The sequence below is a fragment of the Homo sapiens genome, chromosome 1, assembly GCF_000001405.40.
Source record: "Homo sapiens chromosome 1, GRCh38.p14 Primary Assembly".
In the NCBI taxonomy this organism is placed as follows: domain Eukaryota; kingdom Metazoa; phylum Chordata; class Mammalia; order Primates; family Hominidae; genus Homo; species Homo sapiens.
Window position 1 is genome coordinate 59,803,099 of NC_000001.11, and position 20,848 is coordinate 59,823,946.

At 39.0% G+C, this 20,848-nt stretch overlaps 1 protein-coding gene and 1 long non-coding RNA gene across 8 annotated transcripts in view, besides 2 other annotated features; one reads left to right on the forward strand and one right to left on the reverse strand.

Moving 5' to 3' along the window:
• Nucleotides 1-11,768, reverse strand: part of LOC105378758 (uncharacterized) — a 44,047-nt gene extending 32,279 nt beyond the window's left edge. The window contains exons 1-3 of the long non-coding RNA XR_947426.3: nucleotides 11,664-11,768; nucleotides 7,129-7,332; nucleotides 4,400-4,530 (exon numbers count right to left, since the gene is read on the reverse strand). This is a non-coding gene — a long non-coding RNA (uncharacterized LOC105378758). The remainder of the gene's footprint in view (nucleotides 1-4,399; nucleotides 4,531-7,128; nucleotides 7,333-11,663) is intronic.
• Nucleotides 11,319-11,918: a silencer, noted in NCBI's record as "silent region_943". NCBI's record gives its function as "represses an Ori minimal core promoter by ATAC-STARR-seq in GM12878 lymphoblastoid cells {active_cell/tissue: GM12878}" and the evidence as "EXISTENCE:reporter gene assay evidence [ECO:0000049][PMID:35858748]".
• HOOK1 (hook microtubule tethering protein 1) overlaps nucleotides 11,851-20,848 on the forward strand; it is a 61,374-nt gene continuing 52,376 nt past the window's right edge. For 5 of the 7 annotated variants that reach the window (NM_015888.6, XM_047422232.1, XM_047422230.1 and 2 more), the window contains exons 1-2: nucleotides 11,851-12,082; nucleotides 18,760-18,845. In NM_015888.6, the coding sequence (NP_056972.1) occupies nucleotides 12,020-12,082; nucleotides 18,760-18,845 (149 nt within the window). In that variant the 5' untranslated portion in view covers nucleotides 11,851-12,019. Of the gene's footprint in view, nucleotides 12,083-12,624; nucleotides 12,644-13,601; nucleotides 13,621-18,759; nucleotides 18,846-20,848 lie in introns of those variants that run through there. The other 2 variants (XM_047422225.1, XM_024447520.2) reach the window with 2 other exon arrangements.
• Nucleotides 12,155-12,718: an enhancer, noted in NCBI's record as "NANOG-H3K4me1 hESC enhancer chr1:60280925-60281488 (GRCh37/hg19 assembly coordinates)". NCBI's record gives its function as "activates a minimal SCP1, AML or CMV promoter by ChIP-STARR-seq in naive H9 embryonic stem cells {active_cell/tissue: H9 hESC(naive)}" and the evidence as "EXISTENCE:reporter gene assay evidence [ECO:0000049][PMID:30033119]".

The window sequence follows — 20,848 nt, forward strand, 5'->3', positions numbered from 1 at the left end:
AAACTTATATTTTTTAAAAAAAGAGAAAAGCGTTCTTTATTATTATTTTAAGTTGAGAAGCTTATAATGTTATTGGTGATTAATCCTTTCCCTTGTCTTTGACACTCACATACTGTGTTACAAATATGTCTCCATGTTATTTATTTGTCCTTTTAAGATGCAAGTCCTGCAACTTCAACTGGATGTTAAGCATAATAGGAGTAGAAACTCTGCCTTATATTTCTCCACATTTCTAATGTCAAAGGAAACTCTCTTTTGTAGAAGATATTCAATATGTGGTTGTTGATTTTGTACTAGACAGCTTACCTCATTTCTTCAGGCAGGCAAACTATTATTGTCTCCATTTACAGTGAGAAAACTGAGAGCCAACAGAGTTCAGGAACTTGACCAAGATCATAATGAAGAGGGGACAAAAACATGTTCTTCTGTGCTTTGTACCCAACATTGTTTCTCAGGCAGCTTGTTTCAGTTATCTCTTACAAGCCTACAACAAGCTTTCCCACCACCAGCACTAACTTCTGGCAACAGATAGTACTTGTAATGAATAATCCAACTGAAACAGCATTCAGTTTGAGATTCTATCTGTTCTTTTTGAATAAACACTGAAAGCAAATGAAATAGGAAATTGTTTCCCACAGACTTCCTGAGCAATAGGGAAAAACATTTGAACCCTATTCTCAGCCGAAGGACAATGAGAGGGTGGCTGTGCATGCAGATCATGCTGAACAACTTCAAGTGAAACACAGAAGACAGCATGACCAAAGTTTGCCCTTCTTGAAACTTGAAGTGGGTGAACTGTGTCTTCTCAGCCCTCAGACCTACTTGCTTGGCTTGGAGAATGGCCTTTGGTAGTAGAAGTCACAGATGAAGTTTTTAGGATCAAACAAATAAGGGTTTTAATTTTGGGATATCTATAACACAAACAGTAACTTTGAACAAGTTACTCCCTCACTTGCAAAACTAAGATTTTTATGAGGATTAATGTCAATCATGTATGTGATGGTGCCTGGAATAGAAGAAATTGATGTTAGCTTTCTTTCTTCCTCCATGGGCCCTCTAACTTCAGCATTGCCACCATTACCCCTTATGAAATAAATAGGCTGATAAATATGTTCACCCTAAAGCCTAAATGACTATGAGGTTCAATATTATAGTTTTTACAAGAGTAACCCTATTTTAACAGGTGACCAAAATCTCATTTTCAAGGAATGAAATTATGAAATGGAGCCTGCTTTGCTCATAGACATCCAGGCTTACTAAACATCCTTCCCTACAACATGGAACCAGGGATCCTTGGAGAAATGGCTGAGTCCAAGATAGGGTCAATGAAAGTACAAAATGATCCTGTAACATCCTGTGCCTAGAAGTACACAAAAAAACAATGGATTATGCAAAAAAGATGCAGAAGCCAATGTGAAGGCATTCCCACAGGCTGAACTTCTGAGGGACTGATGATTAAAATGACTCATGTCAGGAATGGATTATAACATGCTGAATAAACATATATTTATAGTCCATATTTGCACTTAAAAAAAATTAAAGGTGGATATGAAGAAAGAGGAAAAGCTATTTTTGTAGAATAATGCCAACTAATAGATATAGAAGGAATAGTGGAAATAGAAAACCAGCACCCTTTTACACACCATAGTAATAATTGATTCTGATAATAATTATTAATGGATGCCAAAGGCATTGAGTGAAAAATTGGGGGTAAAAATATACACACACATTCTCAGATTATTTAGTAATAACAATGGAAAAATATCTTTACAATGGAGAGATCTAGTGGACATCATTCTAATCAAATGGTAAAATTTAATGTCCTTAGTAATTAGACAATCTAGTACCATGTTATTGCTAATGTGATACACTAAGCTCACAATATAATCTCTTCCAAAAATAGTTGAACCAAATCTGATCACCAAGAAACAATCCAACAAATCTACTAGACTCTTCAAAAATGTTGCTGTCATGAAAGATCTCTCTCTCTCTCACACACACACACGCGCACACACACACACACACACACACACACACACACACACACGGAGTGGAGAACTGACCTAGATCAGAGGAGACTGAAGCAACATGTCAAATACAATGCATAATCCTGATTCCTTGACTTTGAGTCCCAGAAAAAAAGAGAAAAAAATAATTGTGGACAATTAGGTAAATTTAAAGGAGTGCACATTATACAATACTATTATGTCACTGTTAATTTTCCCAACTATATAATTCTATGTAATTAGATAAGAGAATGTTCTTATTCTTCAGAGATATATACTGAAGTATTTAAGGGCTAACGGTAATTATTTCTGTTACTCTTGAATTATTTATATGCATCCCTCTCTCTCTTTATCTCTCTACCAATGTGGTGATTATAACCTAAAAATGGACTTTGTACATTTAAAAAATACGGCCTCACAGGTAGTCCAGTTATTTAATCCGAATGGCCAACTTAATTATTCTTCAGAAAAATTTGAGATTTATATTAAAAAATGGGTAAAAATAATTCAAGCTCATCTTCAGATACAAAATGCCAAAAGCTTAGCATATTCAAGCTCATTTACTGTAGTCATGAACCTTCAGTCAGTAGATTCTTCAATAGGTAATCATTAATTTCACTCATCTAGACACAATGGATTTTCTTGTTTCACTGTGTTGAACAAAAACAATGCTGACTCCCTGAAGAACTATTTCAGTAACAAGGGAAAATACAGAAACTGCAATGATTGAAGAAGGATTGTATATGTTATGTTTTATTTGCAATGATTGTCTTTAAAAATCAGCTCTGATCTCCCCAAGGATGAATCTCTTCTTCACATCTGGAAAGAGGTTTTATGAGGTATGCAATTTATTAGTTGTATGAGCTTGGGTGCCTCTTGATGCATCAGTTCCCTCATCAGTAAGATAAAGTTGAAAAATATTACTTACTTTATCAGGTTGTTAAGGATAAATGAATTAGTGTAAGTGAAGTACATTGAATAGTGCACAGCACCTAATAAGTGCTGCATGTTTTAGCTATTATTGTTTTTTTTTTTATAGCTTTATGATTGGATATGTTCTCAGTCACCAATTGTGTTCATAGAAAACTTTTTTTTTTTTTTTTTGAGATGGAGTCTCGCTCTGTTGCCAGGCTGGAGTGCAGTGGCATGATCTTGGCTCACTGCAACCTCCGCCTCCCGGGTTCAAGCGATTCTCATGCCTCAGCCTCCCGAGTAGCTGGGACTACAGGCCAGCGGCACCACGCCTGGCTAATTTTTGTATTTTTAGTAGAGATGTAGAGACGGGGTTTCACCAGGCCAGGATGGTCTCGATCTCTTGACCTCATGATCCTCCTGCCTTGGCCTTCCAAAGTGCTGGGATTACAGGCGTGAGCCACCGCGCTTGGCCAGGAAACTTTTTTTTTTTCTTCTTTCAGACGGAGTTTTGCTCTTGTTGCCCAGGCTGGAGTGCAATGGCATGATCTCGGCTCACCACAAGTTCTGTCTCCCAGGTTCAAGCGATTCTCCTGCCTTGGCCTCCCGAGTAGCTGGGATTACAGGCATGTGCCACCATGCCTGGCTAATTTTGTATTTTTAGTAGAGATGGGGTTTCTCCATGTTGGTCGGGCTGGTCTTGAACTCCTGACCTCAGGTGATCCACCCGCCTCTGCCTCCCAAAGCGCTGGGAAGGAAATCTTTTTATAGTGGCAAATCCTTTAATGAAATGTGCAGCTCCCTCTTTTCTGTATAAGGCTAGGTCCTACCCAATAGTTTTGTTTTTCATTATTTCTTGGTCGTTTTGTTTTAAAGATCTTTGGGGAATATTCCCAAATCACATTAGGAAGTACTCATTTACTGGGTTAAATCGTTTCAAACATTTTACTAGCCATGAGCTTCAAGGAATTTTCTGCAAGAGCGTTTAGTAAACCCTTTGCACATCTTTCCTGGCATTCCGGAACATTTTTGTTCTTTGTTCTTATAGCCCAATTTGTTAATGCTTATGATTAAGAAGCCCCCTTTTCTAGTGTCCATAAATGATCGGATAAACTTCTTCCCTCTAACATTTTGACGTTTTAAGATGTATTATATTATATATAGGCTATACTTATCTAACACATGAAGGGAAAGCAAGATATTCTAGCTCCTTAGGCAAATATCACTTCAATGTATTTTCAACTGATATACATGTAGAGGCTTCAGAATGCCACATTTTGTAACGACAGTTTCAAATGTATTTTTCTCAAGCGGTAATAAAAAATAATCACTATTTCTAACATAGTGATCTCTATCATCCTTAAACATTATGTTCTTATTAAACCTGTGAAACCAGTCTTGTGAATGTGATTGTATCTATTTTCCATACATATAATGTAATTAAATAATTTTAATTTTTAAAATATTAATTTTCAACACACCTGAAAACAATAGGAGCAGCCAGGCATGGTGGCTCATACCTGTAATCCCACCACTTGGGAGGCTGAAGCAGGAGGATTGCTTGAGCCCAGGAGTTTCAGATCAGCCTGGACAACATAAGAAGACCGCATCGCTACAAGAAATGAAAAAATTAGCTGAACATGGTGGCACGTGCCCGTTGTCCCAGCTACTCAGGAGAGAGAGGTGGGGGGGATCACTTCAGCCCAGGAGTTTGAAGCTGCAGTGAGCCAGGATCATGCCACTCCACTCAAGGGTGACACAGTGAGACCTCGTCTCAAAAACAAACAAACAAACACCAATAGGAGGTACCCTTTGTTATATTGTAATTCTTGCTTTTTAGAGACAAACATCTGTGGATTAAATGATTAGACACTCACTATGTGTCACTGTTTGGTCTTTGTTTTAAAAACCTGCTTACATGGATTAGAAGGATTTTTGTACATAAAAAATAGGTCACCAACTGAATGAGAACCATGGATCATCTCTTCCAACAGAGTGTAAAATGATGACAGGTCTTGTGATTCACTCAGATAAACTGAGATATAAACTCCATGATTTATACGTTTAAATGATACTTTAGATTGGTTACATTATCGGTACATTTTTACTAAATGCCTATTTTTACTTGTTTTTAGGTATTTGAAAATAAATGCTACATTTACCTTGCTATTTAAATTTTTTCTCATCGGAGTTATTAAGGACAAGATAAATTATGTGCGATTATGTTTGATTTAGAGCTTTGGGGTGAGTTTATATATGCTTAATAAATCAAATGGTTACATTTATTTTTACTTAATAAATGGCAAGCTAAACACTCTTCCCTGTAAGTTTAAAACATAATTGATAAGATTACTCTGTATTGTGATTTATCTTTTTTGTAACTTTTGTTTCCCCAGGAACCTGTCTTAAATCCTCCAAGGTGTCATTCATTTAGTTATTTGACACTAAGCCCCTAAGTGAAATTATAACTATGGCTAAAATCCTTCCTCATTTTGGAGGCTTCTAATCCAAGAACCAAAGATGCCAACATTCTTCCTCTGTGACTATTTTAACTTTGTGGTTATGATACCTATTGCCACACTTTCAGTCCTACTTGTCCACACTTAAACACCATGCTTTCCCATTCTGAGTGATGGCACCCTCATCCCCACCCAAAGCTACTGTGGGTGCTACTGCCTTACAGAGTATACTGTGGTGTGCTGCCTGGATATTTCCAGCATCTTGGAGTGCTTTCAGCAGACAGCCATCAGCCATCAGCCTTCTTTGTGAATTGCCTAGGCTGCCACGTCACCTCTCTAGGGCAGCCCACATGCAATGAATGATTTGTCAACATGGAAGCGTACAGACCAACTCCCCTCATTCAAACTTGGAACAACTTGGAAGGACCATTCCAGCTTCAGCACTCCCCAGGGATAAGTCAAGACTTTCATTGAGCCTGCACCACAACCTGCTTTCTCCCTCTGCCCACTACTTCTTCCTTCCCTCCTCTCTCACAGCTGTTATTCCCAACAGCATTTCTTAATAACCCTCCAACATGCTAATCTCCATCTCAGGGTCTACTTCCTGGAAAATCCAATTTACAACAGGCTGCAATAACAAAAGTCCTCGAAGTTAAGATTTTTTTTTTCTGTTTATGGTACAATTTTAAAATCTCTTGCTCTATGGATGCGCATTCTCTAGTGACAGAGATGTCGTCTCCCTTAATTTGAACTTGCACTTGGCTTCAATTTCTCCATTGAATCCTTAGAGTAATCTCTCTTTGGGCAGCCCAACAGGTTGGCAATAACATCTCTTGGAAGTAAAATGCATTAAAAGGCAGTTTCATTAAGTGATATAAAATCCATGTAACTCAAGTCTTCAACAGCCCTAGAAGTAAAATTTCCAGTATCTCATACAGTTCCTAAATTAATATTAATTTCATAGCAAGAGTGAGTTTCAAGCCAGTGTGAAAAATAAATGAATATTCATTTTTACACACAGTGGGAAGGAATCCACATCCTTGATCACCTTTCTCCAGTCTCTACCTTAATAGTTATGCTGGCTGAAAATATCCATAGGATATTTGTCCCTATCTTCCCAGTCCCATTACCTAAACATTCAGATCCAAGTCAATTATGGTCAAGGTTGTTCCATTAACAGAAAGCTAAATCTTACCCATAATGTCTGGGATTGGTCTTGCTTCCCTAAACCCTAGTATGGTATTTGATGGAGCTCAAATACACCTTAGGTATTTGTGCCCACTGTGTTTACAGGTCTAAGAACAAGGAGGTGTTGTAAAACGTCAGTTTTCATTCCTGTCTCTCTTTCTGTGACTCTGCCTCGGGCATATAAATCTCCTCCCTCGGGGCCTGGAAACTATTATTCCAAAGTACCTCCCAGATTCTGAAAATTGTCACAGCTGCTGCATTCAGCTTCTTCTGAACTTTGATATTGACTTGAGGTAGCCTGAGTTTGCAATTTGCTATAATTCTTTGCCTATTTGATTGCAGACCACTCTTGTGGGCATCATCCAGAAAAGCAAACTAATCCCTATGGTGGATCTCATATCATTCTGGCTACCTCTGTCTCGGTTGCTGAGATTGAGCCTATGTTGCAGTTCTTTCCTTTCTCCCTCTTTCTTCCCTCCCTTCTTTTATGCCTTCATCCTTCCTTCCTACCTTCAACATTTGCAGGACATGTGTTTGGGGGTCTGTGGAAGGGGAAGCTTTACCTAAACAATGCTGTCAGAATTCTCTGTGTGTGGGTTCAATAATTTCCTTCAGGAATGAATGCTTTGCTGCTGACGTCCAATTGCACTCTTTGCTGCTGACATGATCTCTCTACTAGCATGACTGCAGGAACTGTATGTCTAGATCTGCATCTGTCCAGGTCAGAGTCTTCTAGCTGATATCCATTCTGAGACATTCAGGGTTACCTAGAAATCAGCAGGAAAGCCTTAGAATTCTCAGTTTCTTCATTTCATCATTTGTATGTGTAAGACACAGATATCTTCTTTACAAGTAGGGCCTACTGCAGTTCTATTTAAAGTGCCTAGCTAGGGATTTTCTCCTCTTATCATTTATCTATTTACTTACAGACCAACTCAGAACATAAAATCTCTTTCTCATCCTTTCTCCCCAACACACACAAAAAAGTTTGTTTTAAGTAAAAAACAAATATTCATCCATTTTGATGAAATTGGAAAATACAAAAAGATAATAATTAATTACCATGAATAACATTTACTAATATTTTAATTTTTTTTCATGTTTCTTTTCAGTGCACACATGCACACACACGTGTGTGGTGTAAAGAATAGCTAAAATGTATTGAGCAACAACTATAAGCTAGGATTTATATTAAGCATTTTACATACATTTGACCCTCACAACAACCATAAGAAGTCATGTGGAAAGAATTGGTTTTGTTTTTGTCTGCAGGCATCATTCCTCCTTTCAATGGGCGACAGCTCTGTGATCTCGCCTTAGGCCTGCAATCTATGTGGGGCAGCCAGTCTAGGTGCTCTACCCTCTTCTGGGAAAGGGTTAGACAAAATCCCAAAACAGGCCAGTCAGATGCTCCCCCTGGAATTGGAATCTTGAACAGAATGACTCAGAAAGACTGAGCAGCCATTTTATCCTACTCATCCAGGTGGTGGTATCCTGAAAAGACTCCCATAGTTTTTGCTACCTAGATCCAATGAGCTATTTTGGGACCTGCACTTTCCCATGCTGGGTTCTTCAGCTCTTCCTCTGAACCTGTGAACCCTCTTGTATTTTTCCAAAAACATTTAAAAAAAAAAATAAGCTACCAGGTTTGGTTTCTCCCACTTACCACCAAAAAAATTCCTAATCAATACAGAAATACACAGAAATATACTAGTATTATCCCAGCTTAGAGAGACTGAAACTGAGCTTTAATGAAATTGTCATTTGCTCAAGATCACCCAGGCAATACGAAGTGATATCAGGTCTCTATAACACTAAACTTTGGGCTTAATTTTAGCCAACTCTCTTCTCAATGTCCCTCTGTATGGATGCATAAGCATGCACGCATGCGTGGGCACACATGTGTATGTGTGCATGTATTCCTATATATATTCTTCACAGTTGAGATTCTACCATATTCATAATTTTAAACATTTTCAGGCTTTACTCCTTTTTCATGACAATAAAATCACGGTAGAAAATTTCAAATTCACTGGAAATTACAAAGAAGGTAAAACTCACCCATTATTCCAATACCTAGACATTATCATCATCACTATCAACATCTTGGTATATTTTCTGTAGTCTCTTTCTTTTTTTCTCTCTCTGGGGGTGTATGTATACAGTATATATACACACACCCAGGCACACCCAAATAGGGATCCACACATAAATATATATTTACATACATACATTTATTTATTTATTTATTCAAGGTAATGACGGGTTCTCTCTATGTTGCCCAGGCTGATCTCAAACTCCTGGACTCAAGTGATCCTCCCACCACCTCAGCCTCCCAAAGTGCCGGCATTACAGGCTTGAGCCATTGCACCTGGCCCATATATTTATGTATATGTTGGGATCTATGCTGTATGCACAGATTGCATAATGGCTTTTTTTCTTAACATTATGTGATAAGCATTTTCCTGAATAAACTTATTTTAAAATATTTTAATGCCTATGATACATTTCATTGTTTAAATATAACTTACTGTGTTTAATCACTTCTCTTTCAGACATTTAATAGCTGTTTCTTTTCCTTTTTGCTTGATAAATAGTACTGCAATCAACAACTTTGTTGGCATATGATTATTTTCTTAGAATAGATTCTGAAAGTGAACTTACTGGCTTAAAGACTTTGAACATTTTAAAGGCTCTTGATATATATTGTCAAAAAACTTTGTACCCATTTATAATCCCACAGCTAGGGTTTAAGAGTTAGTTTCACTCAACTCCCCAAACATGGATGCCAACTTCTAAAGAACTGATGCCAATTTAATAGTTGGAAATGATAACTTATGTTGTATTTGGCATTTCTTCTAAAGTCTTTTTTTCTGATTATAAAGTAATATAAGCTAATTGTAGAAAGCCTAGAAAATATGGAAGATTAGAAAAATAGTCATTTTTCATTTGTATATAAATATAACAACAGTTTTATGATTATTCCTTTGTCTTCTTCCTGTGTATATATTAAAATACATACCTAATATTTATAATATTGAGGTCATATGGCTGATACTTTCATCTAAATTTTATTTAATAGTATACATTGTGACAACTTTCCTGAGTTATCAAATATTCTCCAGAGCACTGAATCTGCTGTAAAATATTTAGCCTTCCTTGCTTATTGGGCATTGTATCAATCGATTATACAATTGATCAATACATAGCATTGCCATACATATCATTGTTCAAAGCCTCCAAATGCACTTCTGATGATTTCAACAGAATTTATGACTGACGCAGAATAAATTGGAATCATGGGTTTAAATGATATGGATATTTTAAAGTTTCTTGATAAAAATTGTTAAATTTTTCCTTCCCTGATAATTTACTCTCTATAAAGTCCAGAAGCATAACTTAATTGCCCCCCCCACCAAGTTACTCTCACGAATTATTTTATTTGAGAAATTTGGTCACTTGTGGCTCTCAGTGATAAATATGTTGAGAAGTTTCCCATATGTATAGATGATAATAGTAACTCATATTTACAAAGTTTATAATTTACATTTACCATGTATGTTTACATTTTAATTACAATGATCTTAGGAATGTGGAGGTTGGGGGCTATAGGAGAGCAGCCAGTGGGGAATAAAGTCAAGATTCAGACCAGGTCTTCAATTCCTAAATCTTGTAGTTTTAATTAAATCACATTACCAATGTACCTAGTTCCAGCATATAAAGTGACTCCAGAGGCGTTAAGAAAGTTCTGGAATAATGTTAAGGGAGTCAATAGCAAACGTACATACTGTATTTTTAGAATGAGACTGATTTACACTTGGGGGCTTTTAATTGCAGTCGTCCATCAGTTTTAAATTTTCAGTGTCTAAATATAAAAACGCAGCAATATAAAAAAAAGCCAGCTGTTTTCTTACTCAGAGCATGAATTGATGAGTTTATGAATGAGTGAAGTGACAGCAAGACTAAGAATAGTCTAGCCCTTTTCAATCACCTAAGCCATCTATCAATACCTTGGAGAGCTTCCAATTTCAGGTCACCTCCCCCGACCCCCCTCCACCCCACAACATTCTCGGAAAAAGCAAATTTTCAACTGACAAAGGAAAATGGATACATTAATATCTTCCATGTTTTTCAAAACATTTCGTTTATTTTGCTACTTGAAAACGGTCTTCCCTTTTGCCCCATGTAAAATAAAATTGCTCATGATCTATGGTCCCGTGAGAGCTTATTTAAGGAGCACTGACGGATTCTATTTTCCTTATTAATGTGGCATATTTGCCACGTGTGCAAATGAAAACATCCCTTTCCAATGAGTGCCTAGGAGGAAATCAGCTCTTCCTTCCTCGAAGAGTTTTAATTCATGGGTATGATCTATTTCTTTCTTTCTTTATTTTGTTTTATATATTTTTTAGAGACAGAGTCTCGGTTTTTTGTCCAGGCTGGGGTGCAGTGGCATGATCTCGGCTCACTGCAACCTGTGCCTCCCGGGTTCAAGCGATTCTTCTGCCTCAGCCTCCTGAGTAGCTGGGATTACAGTCATGTGCCACCACCCCCGGCTAATCTTTGTATTTTTAGTAGAGAATGGGTTTCGCCATCTTGGCCTGGCGGGTCTCGAACTCCTGACCTCAGGTGATCCACCCGCCTCAGCCTCCCAAAGTGCTAGGATTACAGGCGTGAGCCACCTCGCCCAGCCGGTAGGATCTATTTCTGAAGACAATGTGGAAGCAGAGTGTGGGCCCTCCACAGGTGTAGCGAGGCGGCGTGCTACCGCGAAGAAGGAGGGAAGACGCCTGAGCCCAGCCGGTGCCCTGCTGCCCCTCTGCCTCTTCGGCCACTGGGGCTGAGCTTCAGCCTTACCAATCCCCGCCGCGCACGCGCGCTCGCTTCCCGCGCGCAACCTCCCACCCCCGCCCTCACTGCACCTGCCAGGTCATAAACCTCTTCCCACCCACTCTCACTCTCTACCCAAGGCTCAGGCTTGTCTCACGTTGATTGGCCAGAGCCCACGAGGGCACGTCCAATCAGCAATCCCCCCTGCGCAACCTATCCCGGTTCTTCCCGCCCCCGCCCCGCCCCGCCCGCCCCCCCGGGTACCTACCGTCTCTGTGACTGGTGCGCGGCCAGGTCACTCAGGGCGGCGGGGCGAGGTGTGCGGGAGTGGGCAGGACGGGTGGGAGGAGGGGAGGGGTGGGAGAAGGCGGGGCTCAGGTGCCTGGCAGCGCGGCCGGGGCCCAGGAAGGGGAGGGGGCGAACGCTGGAGCGAGGCGGGGGCGGGTGAGGAGGGGGTGACGCCGGACGCGTCGACAGCGCGAGGGTTCGCGCGTGAGCTGCGCGGGTCGGGCCTGGTACCGAGCTTTCCTGGGGGCTAGCAGGTCGTGGACGCCGGCTCCTGGAGGAGAGCCGGTAGGAGGGAGTGTGAAGGTGTCCGCGGCGTCGTCGACGGCGGCGCCGGCCATGGAGGAGACGCAGCCGCCGCCGCAGCCTAAGCTGCCCCTGTGCGACAGCCTCATGATCTGGGTGAGTGCGAGGAGGCGAGAGGGCGAGGGGGCCAGGGGGCCGAGGCGAGGAGCCTGGGGCGCCCGGTTCTCCCAGGTGAGCTGGGGCTACCTGCACAGGGTCCCGGCGCACCCTGCCCTTCTCACCTCGTGCCCTTGACCGAGAGAATGCCACCTGCGGGTCGACGGGCAGGTGTGTGGGCGCGGGTTGGTGTCCGGGGGTGGGGGTAAAGGAAGCTCTGGGAGCGTAACAGTGGAGGCTCTGGTCTCAACCAGAGGATTCGACCTGCCTGGTGCCCTAACAGCTGGGATATGAACCAAGCACCCATCCTCTTTTCTCCCCGCTGCCCCATTTTCTCCCCCTGAACAGCGCCCGAGCCCTCCACTTTCTGGATCGCCGACTCTCTTGCCTTGGTCCGCTTGGGCGTGAAGACCCTTTCCGAAACCTAACCCTGCATCCTCAAACTACCTTGCTCTACCTGGACACAGGTGGCCAGGAGGTGGCTGGCTGTTTTAGTTCCCGGACCAATGCTCCTTCAGGACTCTAGAACATCCGATTTTGTAGAAGCCGCTTCAAAGAGATGTTTGTATTTCCCGTATGGAGAAAAAGATGTGTTGGGAGTCGGGGGTCGTTTTCCCTTTTTCTCGCTGGCCCTCTCCTCCTCTAAATGGACAGCATTTTCTTTAAAGAAAATGAGTTGACATTTTTCTTTAGGATTTATCTGTGTTTAGGATTTTTGTTAATTTGTGTTGGGTCTGGACAGGCATATCTGTCCCCAGATTGTTCAATATTCCAGTCAGCAAAATGACATCCCACCTCTTAGAGTTACTTAGATATCAGTGCTGGCATTCAGGTGTGGTTCTTAACCCATATTGAGTAAAGATGGTGTTTGATGAGCCACAAGGTGCTGTTGATGATGCTCATCCCAAACCAGTTGTTTAGTTGCGTCTAGGGGAGTGTGTGCAGATGGAATGTAAACAGACGGGATCAGGAGGCTGTAATCGGTTGAGATTCCCTAGTGATCTAATGCATCTAATTCCAAAGAATGAGAAATCTAGGTTTATGGAAATGTGTGAAGCCTATTGGAAATAGCCATAATTTAAAGCATTTACACTTTGTAAGTAAATAACTTTTGCTTTTAGTGGAATGCAAATATTTAGGGTTTGTGAGTTAAAAGCAATTAGCTAACTGTTCAGCTGAATTTTCATTTGAAATAGGTATTGGGGTGGAAGTGCTGTATTTAAGACTGTCGTAGAAACAAGGCAACATTACTTTTAATGATTTGTTTTGTTAAAACAGACTAATTAAAGGGTGTATCCGAATCTGCTACATTATTGTAAACCTCAATTGACTGAAGTGTTAAGCTTAGTCTTTATGATGTCATTGATTTACATGTGAGGTGGTGGAGAAGCACAGGATTTTCTTTTGTGTTGTAATATTTTAAAATATTATGTGACTGTATCCACTCTTTTAACCAGAATTTATTGACTTCCAATGTTGAGCTAGGCACTGGGGAGGACTGGAGTGGTAGCCAGAGCTGTGTGTAATTACAGTGGAAGGTAAAATTCCGTAAAAGCTGCAAATATGTTGTAAACCAAATGATAAGGAATCACAGATAACAGAGTAAAATTGGTCGTTTTCTTCAGTCCTCTCTTGGGCTGCTGAGCACTGTGGAGAAAATTGAATGACCGTGCAAACTGTTGCCTCTACTAATGCTGTTACTGTCAAACGCACCTTTTCTCCTAACATTGCCCATACTTAAGAATAACCAGACAGTTTCTCTCACATTCCTCTTAGCAAACCTTTATCAGTATTCTACCTGAGCCCCCAACTCTTATTCCTCTGGGGCAAATGACCACCTCCTTATCCTTGGCTCTGGCTTTAGACTCCATCCCTTCCACCTCTTTTAAAACGTTATTGTATCATTTGTTCCCTTTCTGTATTTACAACTACTTTCTCTCCATTGGCTCCTTTCTCTGTATGTATAAACTTGCTGAAGTATTCCCCTTTTTTAACAGAGAACAAAGAGCCACTATTCCGTGTTAAAGTCATACTGTATTTCCCCTTTCCTTCACAGTAAAATTTGAGTTGTTTTATTCTCACCCTTTATGCTTCACTCTCATTCAGTCTTCAACCCACTACCCTTGAGTTTCTTTCCTCTAAGACTTTCACTTCATTACCAGTTTGCTAAATCCACTAAGTGTTATATTACCATTTTCTTACTTGATGGTTCCTTTGTGAAATTATCTTGTCTTGGTTTCTGGTTATCTTGTCTGTTGCCTTTTCTTTACCTCTTTAGATGATTTCCAGTGAAGTTTACTGTCTTTTTTTTTTAATTAACTAATTATTTTTGCCTTTGCCAGCAACCGCACTGTTGATCTTACCTCACCTACCCAACTTTCTCCAAACTCACCTCAAGCAACAGTTCTTCAAGCCTATCATGCTGCATTGACTTTCTATTTGTTGAAGAAGCTAAGCTGTTTTAATGCATCAGGGATTTTTTTCCCTCTACCTAGAATATTCTCTTTCTAGTTCTTCCAGTGGTTGGCTGCTTCCGTCATTCAGGTCTTGGGTCAGATGTTGCTTTTCAGGGACTCTTTGTTACAACCATTTCTAAAGTTTGTCTCCCACCCTTATCCCACTGTAACCTGTTAACCTCTTTCTGTCTTATCTATAACACAGTACTTTCTAAAGTAATCCAGTTGGCTTTTGGGATCAGAGCTCTTACATGACCTATTTTCTGCTCTGTCCCTAGGAGAACACTGACAACTATTGCCAATAAGACACCAAATCAAAGTGGTGATAGTAAATATCATTGCCTTGGTTCTCACCTCAGAGACTAGTGTTTCACCATTAAGTGTGATATAGCTTAGTTTTTTATAAATACTTGGGAGTGAATTTTTAACTGGGTCATAGAGGATTGTTGGATTTCAGCAAGTAGAAATCAGTGGAAATTAGTTCTCCAGACACAGGGAAGAGACACTAGTAGTAAAACAAATGGTCTCCTTTGGCTATAGATTAAAGGGAGATAGTGGAACACACACATTTGTCATGATAACCCTGGCTCAAAGATAGAAGATTAAAAAAAGTTATGATGGGGCCAAATCATGGAGATAAGACAGTTGGGAATAACTCTTCTTTCAGCGCTAGGAGGAGAATGGAGCCAACATCAACAGAATTAGAGAAGTCATCAAGAAAAGTTAGTTATGTGAAGGAATGCCTCTTGTGGCAATTTTTTAAAAATTGCATTTTATGATTTGGAACTCACCGTCTTAAAATAATTGGCTCTTAGAAATGTTGTACTGCTACTTAGCAGAAAATTCAGGGCAAAAGGGTAAATGTGGGTATCATTTACATGTTGGAGGACATGTATGAGAGTTTGAAGAAATGTTTGTATAAAGATAAATTTAATTCTGCTACTTGGTTCTGTGACATTGGAAATTTGTTTAATATCTTTGGACCTTACTTTCACCAATAAAATTAGAAGGTTGGACCAAATATATTTAAATGTTTTTCTTGGTTCTTGCATTCTTTGACAGGCAGATGAAGGAAAGAGTAATAATTAATATATGCCTAAATTTAGAAAATTATTAAAACCTCAATTATTTTTATGAAGATCTTAAAACTTAAAGCAATGGTTGTTTTTTTTGTAATGAGCAGCTGGAGGAGGAGAATATGAAAATAAAGTTGATCCAAGATTGAGTTTTTGTTGGCTGTTGGTTGTGAAAACCCCATTTTCCTTGATTTCTGTGACATTTATATTAAAGTAGTTTAGGAACAGCATTTCCACATTTCTGATTATTTGTTTTATTTAGAAATATAGAAGAGAGTAAGGTAATTATTTGCCAGAACACTGTGTTTAGCGGTAGACACCTGTGGAAACCCTGTCTGTCTTTTTTGGGTCACTCACTAAAAAGACTTTAGTTAGAAAGAATACATTTTCTTTTGTCTGCTTTGACCTCACTCGCCCCAATAAGCATTTTTTTTTTTTTTTTTTTTTTTTTTTTTGAGGCGAAGTCTCACTCTGTTGCCTAGGCTATAGTGCAGTGGCATGATCTCGGCTCACTGCAACCTCCACCTCCCGGGTTCAAGGGATTCTCCTGTCTCACCCTCCCTAGTAGCTGGGATTACAGGCATGTGCCACCACACCCGGCTAATTTTTGTATTTTTAGTAGAGACAGGGTTTCACCATGTTGGCCAGGCTGGTCTCGAACTCCTCACCTCAAGTGATCCACCTGCCTCGGCCTCCCAAAGTGCTGGAATTACAGGCATGAGCCACTGCACCCAGCCTCCCCACTAAGCTTTTTAATTAATTCACTCTTCTTGGTTGTAAGCCTTTCAATTGAGTGAAATCAAATTACATTCTGTTTTCTAATTTATTTTGCAGCTATTTTAAGAACTTCTCAGAGACACTCCAATGTCCATGGCAGGAAGGAGGGGAAATTGATTTTAATCTGAACATAGTGGTCATGGAGGTAGTCCCTTAGCATGTGTACCTCTTATTTTGCCTAGTATTCTGTGCCTCTGAAATTGTCCTTTTAAAATCATGAATTGTGTCAATTTTGTAAAAAGTTAATGATGTAACTTCTAAGTTACACATTAAAAGTTAATGTTTAAGTTGGAAGGGCTGAAAAGTGGAAGTCACAGTTTATTTTCCTTTTAAAGATGCCCTAATTCTTGGAGTTTCTCTTCCCTGTACATCCACCCAGTTGCAAAATCCTTCTTATTTTGTATTTTAAATATTCCATTAATTCATCATCTCCTCTCAGTCAATATTATGCTGATTCCCTCTACTCTATTTTTGTCATCAGAGCCATTGCAGGAACCTTCTAACTGGTCTGCCTGACTCAGGCATAAAGCTACTCTGTGTCACTATCTGCTCTCCAAAATATGCCAAAGAATGTTACTCTTCCTTATTACTTTTCAGTGATTTTTCATCACCCAGAGCAGTGGTTCTCCAAAATTGACATATTTAAGAATCAGTTGGAGATTTTCTTATTTAATATGTCTAGAGATTCTGATACATATTGTTTCTAGGCCCTATACTTGGAGAAACCCTGACTCATAGCTAATGTGCTAACAGCTGTTGAGCTTATGCCACATGCCAGGCCCTGATATAGGTATATTTGCTATTTCACTTAATTCCCCAACCATCTTGTGAGGTAGAAACTACTCTACTGTTTCTTATTATGTAGATAATGCCATTAAGTGTAAAATAAGTCCAAGCTTCTTGTCATGGCCCTTTGGAGTCCTGTCTCTTTAACCCTGTTGGTTGTCACCCCTTCCCCAGCCTTCTTTGCACTGCAAATCCAGTGATACTGAACTGCATGTTCCCTAAAAATAATATCTCTTCTCATGTATCTGTACTTTTATCATATTCCTATTTCCTGAAGCTTTTTTTCCTTGACTATTTCTTTACTTAGAAAATATGCTACTCTTCCCTCTAGACCTTCCATTCAGAAATCATCTCCGAGAAGCCTTTCCTAAATACAAACCCTAATTAGATTAGTTGACACCCATTTTTTGCAGAACATTTTGTGCATACTGTAATCATGGGACTTACCATATTGTCTAGAAATGATTTATGTCTCTTCCTCCTCTCCTTAACTTTTGACTGAAGCTTTAAGGGTAGAAACCTGGTGGTTTTCCTTTGTAGCCCCATCATGTGCCACAGTGTCTCACATAGCGTAGGAGCTTAGTAAAGTGTCTCTGTGTGTTTTGAAAATAACTGGCTAGGTTTAGTTTGCTGGTATCATTCATCTGTGTTGTGTTAGATAATGGAGGTCTGAATCTCCAGTTGCCAACTCTGAAAATGCACAGAACCATTAAAAGTGAATTATGGCGGGAGAGAATTTTATTGGATTAAGATAGTTAAATGGTAAACTAAGAAATTATTAGTGAACAGTGAAATGGGTGAGTATGTGTGGGAAAAGAGAATCATAGTATATTTAACTTAAGGTGTTTATAGGTTGAGATTACCTTTCTAGAAAGTTTATGATCCATTTTAGCTCTGATGTAATTTGCTTTCTAAATTTTTTTCTATCTCATATTTGCTTATTGTAAAAAGAGGTTATTATTCCGCTTCTCTTCAATATATACATGAATATTTAACAGATATATGTGAAAAGTTAGTATACCTAAAGCCAAAATAGATAGAAACAACTTGACGTGATAGATAGGGCTTGATTCTTCAAGACGTAAGGCCAATTTTTAGATAGGAAACAGAAGTCCTGTCTTATTTCAGAGCTCATGGATAAACTGTAAGTAGGTTTAGACTTGACATTTCTAGCCTTTGTTTTTCTATCAAATGATATGAGTGAAATTTTAAGTTGCAAATGTTGGGTTATCTTTAAGTTCTTTTTCTGATGTTCTGCTAAATATAGACAAAACACAAGACTAGAGTTATATACCTGGTTTTGTATTATTCCAAATTATGTATTACTTATGCATGGCATCAATATGTTCTAATGTCCTAGGCATGATTTTGTGAAATGTTTAGTTTATTTTTATAAAGTTACACAGCCATAGAGACATATTAGCATAGTTCCATTTGTTTGTCTGGGTCTACATTTAAACAAAACAGGACCATGTTTTTTTTTTTTGTTTTTTTTAGCTGTTTTCAATTTATGTTTGCATTTTGTAATGCTACCTTGTAGGTATAAAGAAGCAGTAAGATCATTTGATTTATGTCATTTTAGCTGCAGACATTCAATACTGCCTCACCTTGTCAAGATGTCAAACAGCTGACTAGTGGAGTTGCCATGGCACAAGTTCTTCATCAAATGTGAGTAGTGGTCAGACTCTCCCTGAAAAGCATTGTAAACCCAATACATACCAAGGAAGAAAACTTGGACTTGAATTCCAAAGGTTGTTGCAACTTTATCTTACCCAGTGACATATTCAGGAATATGGCACCAAGGCATTCTTGCAGGTAGGGAACAAAAAGTTTACCACCTCATTATTCCTGGCTTGTTCATAGAGATACATCTTAACTGGATATGTGATCAGGATTCTTATTTATTCAAGTTAACTTATTTTAAACTTGTTATGAGCATGTTCACACTATTTTAAAACTATAAAAGAAACAAGTTAATGATACAATTGCTTATGGTGTTTTCTTTGGTTGTACTGTTGTCATTTTAAGGTATCCGTGCATGGAGATTATTATCTTAAAAATTATTGAAGCATAAAATATTGGATTTTGAAAAAATTTTTAAAGAATTAAATTTTAAAATGTATTTCTGAATTAATAGTAGTTTATGAGTTCACCAATAATGAAATGAGGAATGAATGAAATTTGAAGTCACAGGTACTGGGAAACTTTAATAAAGTGGTTGTGTTTAGGCTGGACCCATTTTATGTAATCATATAATATCAAAAGTTTCTAAATCCATTTTTCCCCTAATATTTGCCAACATTGTTTAAGGGTTAGGGTTACGGTCTGTAATATGAGCTGCACCCTAAGTAGGACAAACAAGGCCAATTCTGCACTCACAATTTATTAATTAATAATTATAACAACTTTATATTAGCTTACTTTGAGACCAGAATCCTATCTCGTCTTCACTGTTTTATAGTCAGATTATTTGTCACCATCATCTTGTAAAGATTTGCCATGATTTACATTGAAAACCCTTTAGATGGGTTAACAAAAATCCTATGCCTGTCTTAGAAAAACAATTAAAATGATATAAAAATCCTACTTGTTTAGAATCTTCAAAATGATCTCTTGCGAATAGACTGATTTAATGGTTAATTTATGATTAATACTTTAAAAGACAAACTTAACTAACATGTTAACTTTTGAGGAGGTTGACAGTTATTGTAAAACATACCTTACTCCCATTCTGTCTTAAAAATATTTCTTAAATGTTTGATTGGCCGGGTGCGGTGGCTCAAGCCTGTAATCCCAGCACTTCGGGAGGCCGAGGAGGGCGAATCACAAGGTCAGCAGATCGAGACCATCCTGGCTAACATGGTGAAACCCCATCTCTACTAAAAATACAAAAAATTAGCCAGGCATGGTGGCGGGCGCCTGTAGTCCCAGCTACTCGGGAGGCTGAGGCAGGAGAATGGCGTGAACCTGGGAGGCGGAGCTCACAGTGAGCCGAGATCCTGCCACTGCACTCCAGCCTGGGTGACAGAGCAAGACTCCGTCTCAAAAAACAAAAAACAAACAAACAAAATTTTATTTATTTATATCTTAATTGATTTTGAAATGATTTAATTCATCAGAGCCAAACATTCTGGACATAGTTCTTTTCTCATGATTTGAGAAAGTCATCATTGTTTTTTGTCACTAGAATTTATGCCTTGCCTTCTTCTCATCATGCTATGTTGTGAATATTGGTGTAGATGCAGCAACATTGTGGTTGGTATGAATGTAAGGCTGGTATGCATTCACTCATTTCAACAGTCCCATTCAGAGCTGTCCTTTCTATATGTTTTGGTGGGCTTTGGTAGCTTTATGCCAGAATACAATCAAAAGAAACCTGTTTTTACCATGATGTGATGCATATAGCTCTTTGACCTCCTATGCTCTAGCACTGGACCTGATGTTTGGAGTAGAGTCAGTAAATTTTAGCTAATTTTTCCACAGTCTGTTGGATTATGCTGTTAATGCTGATCTTCCCTCTCTGTGCTTTTTCTTTATTTCTTCTTTCTTTTGTCTGTAACAGTCTTCTAAGAGCTTTTCTGCAGTAACAATAAAATAGTCAATCAGAAATTCTCTGTCACCATTAACAAATGGCCAGTGCCCTAAAATTAACCCTAAATATCTCTCTCTTT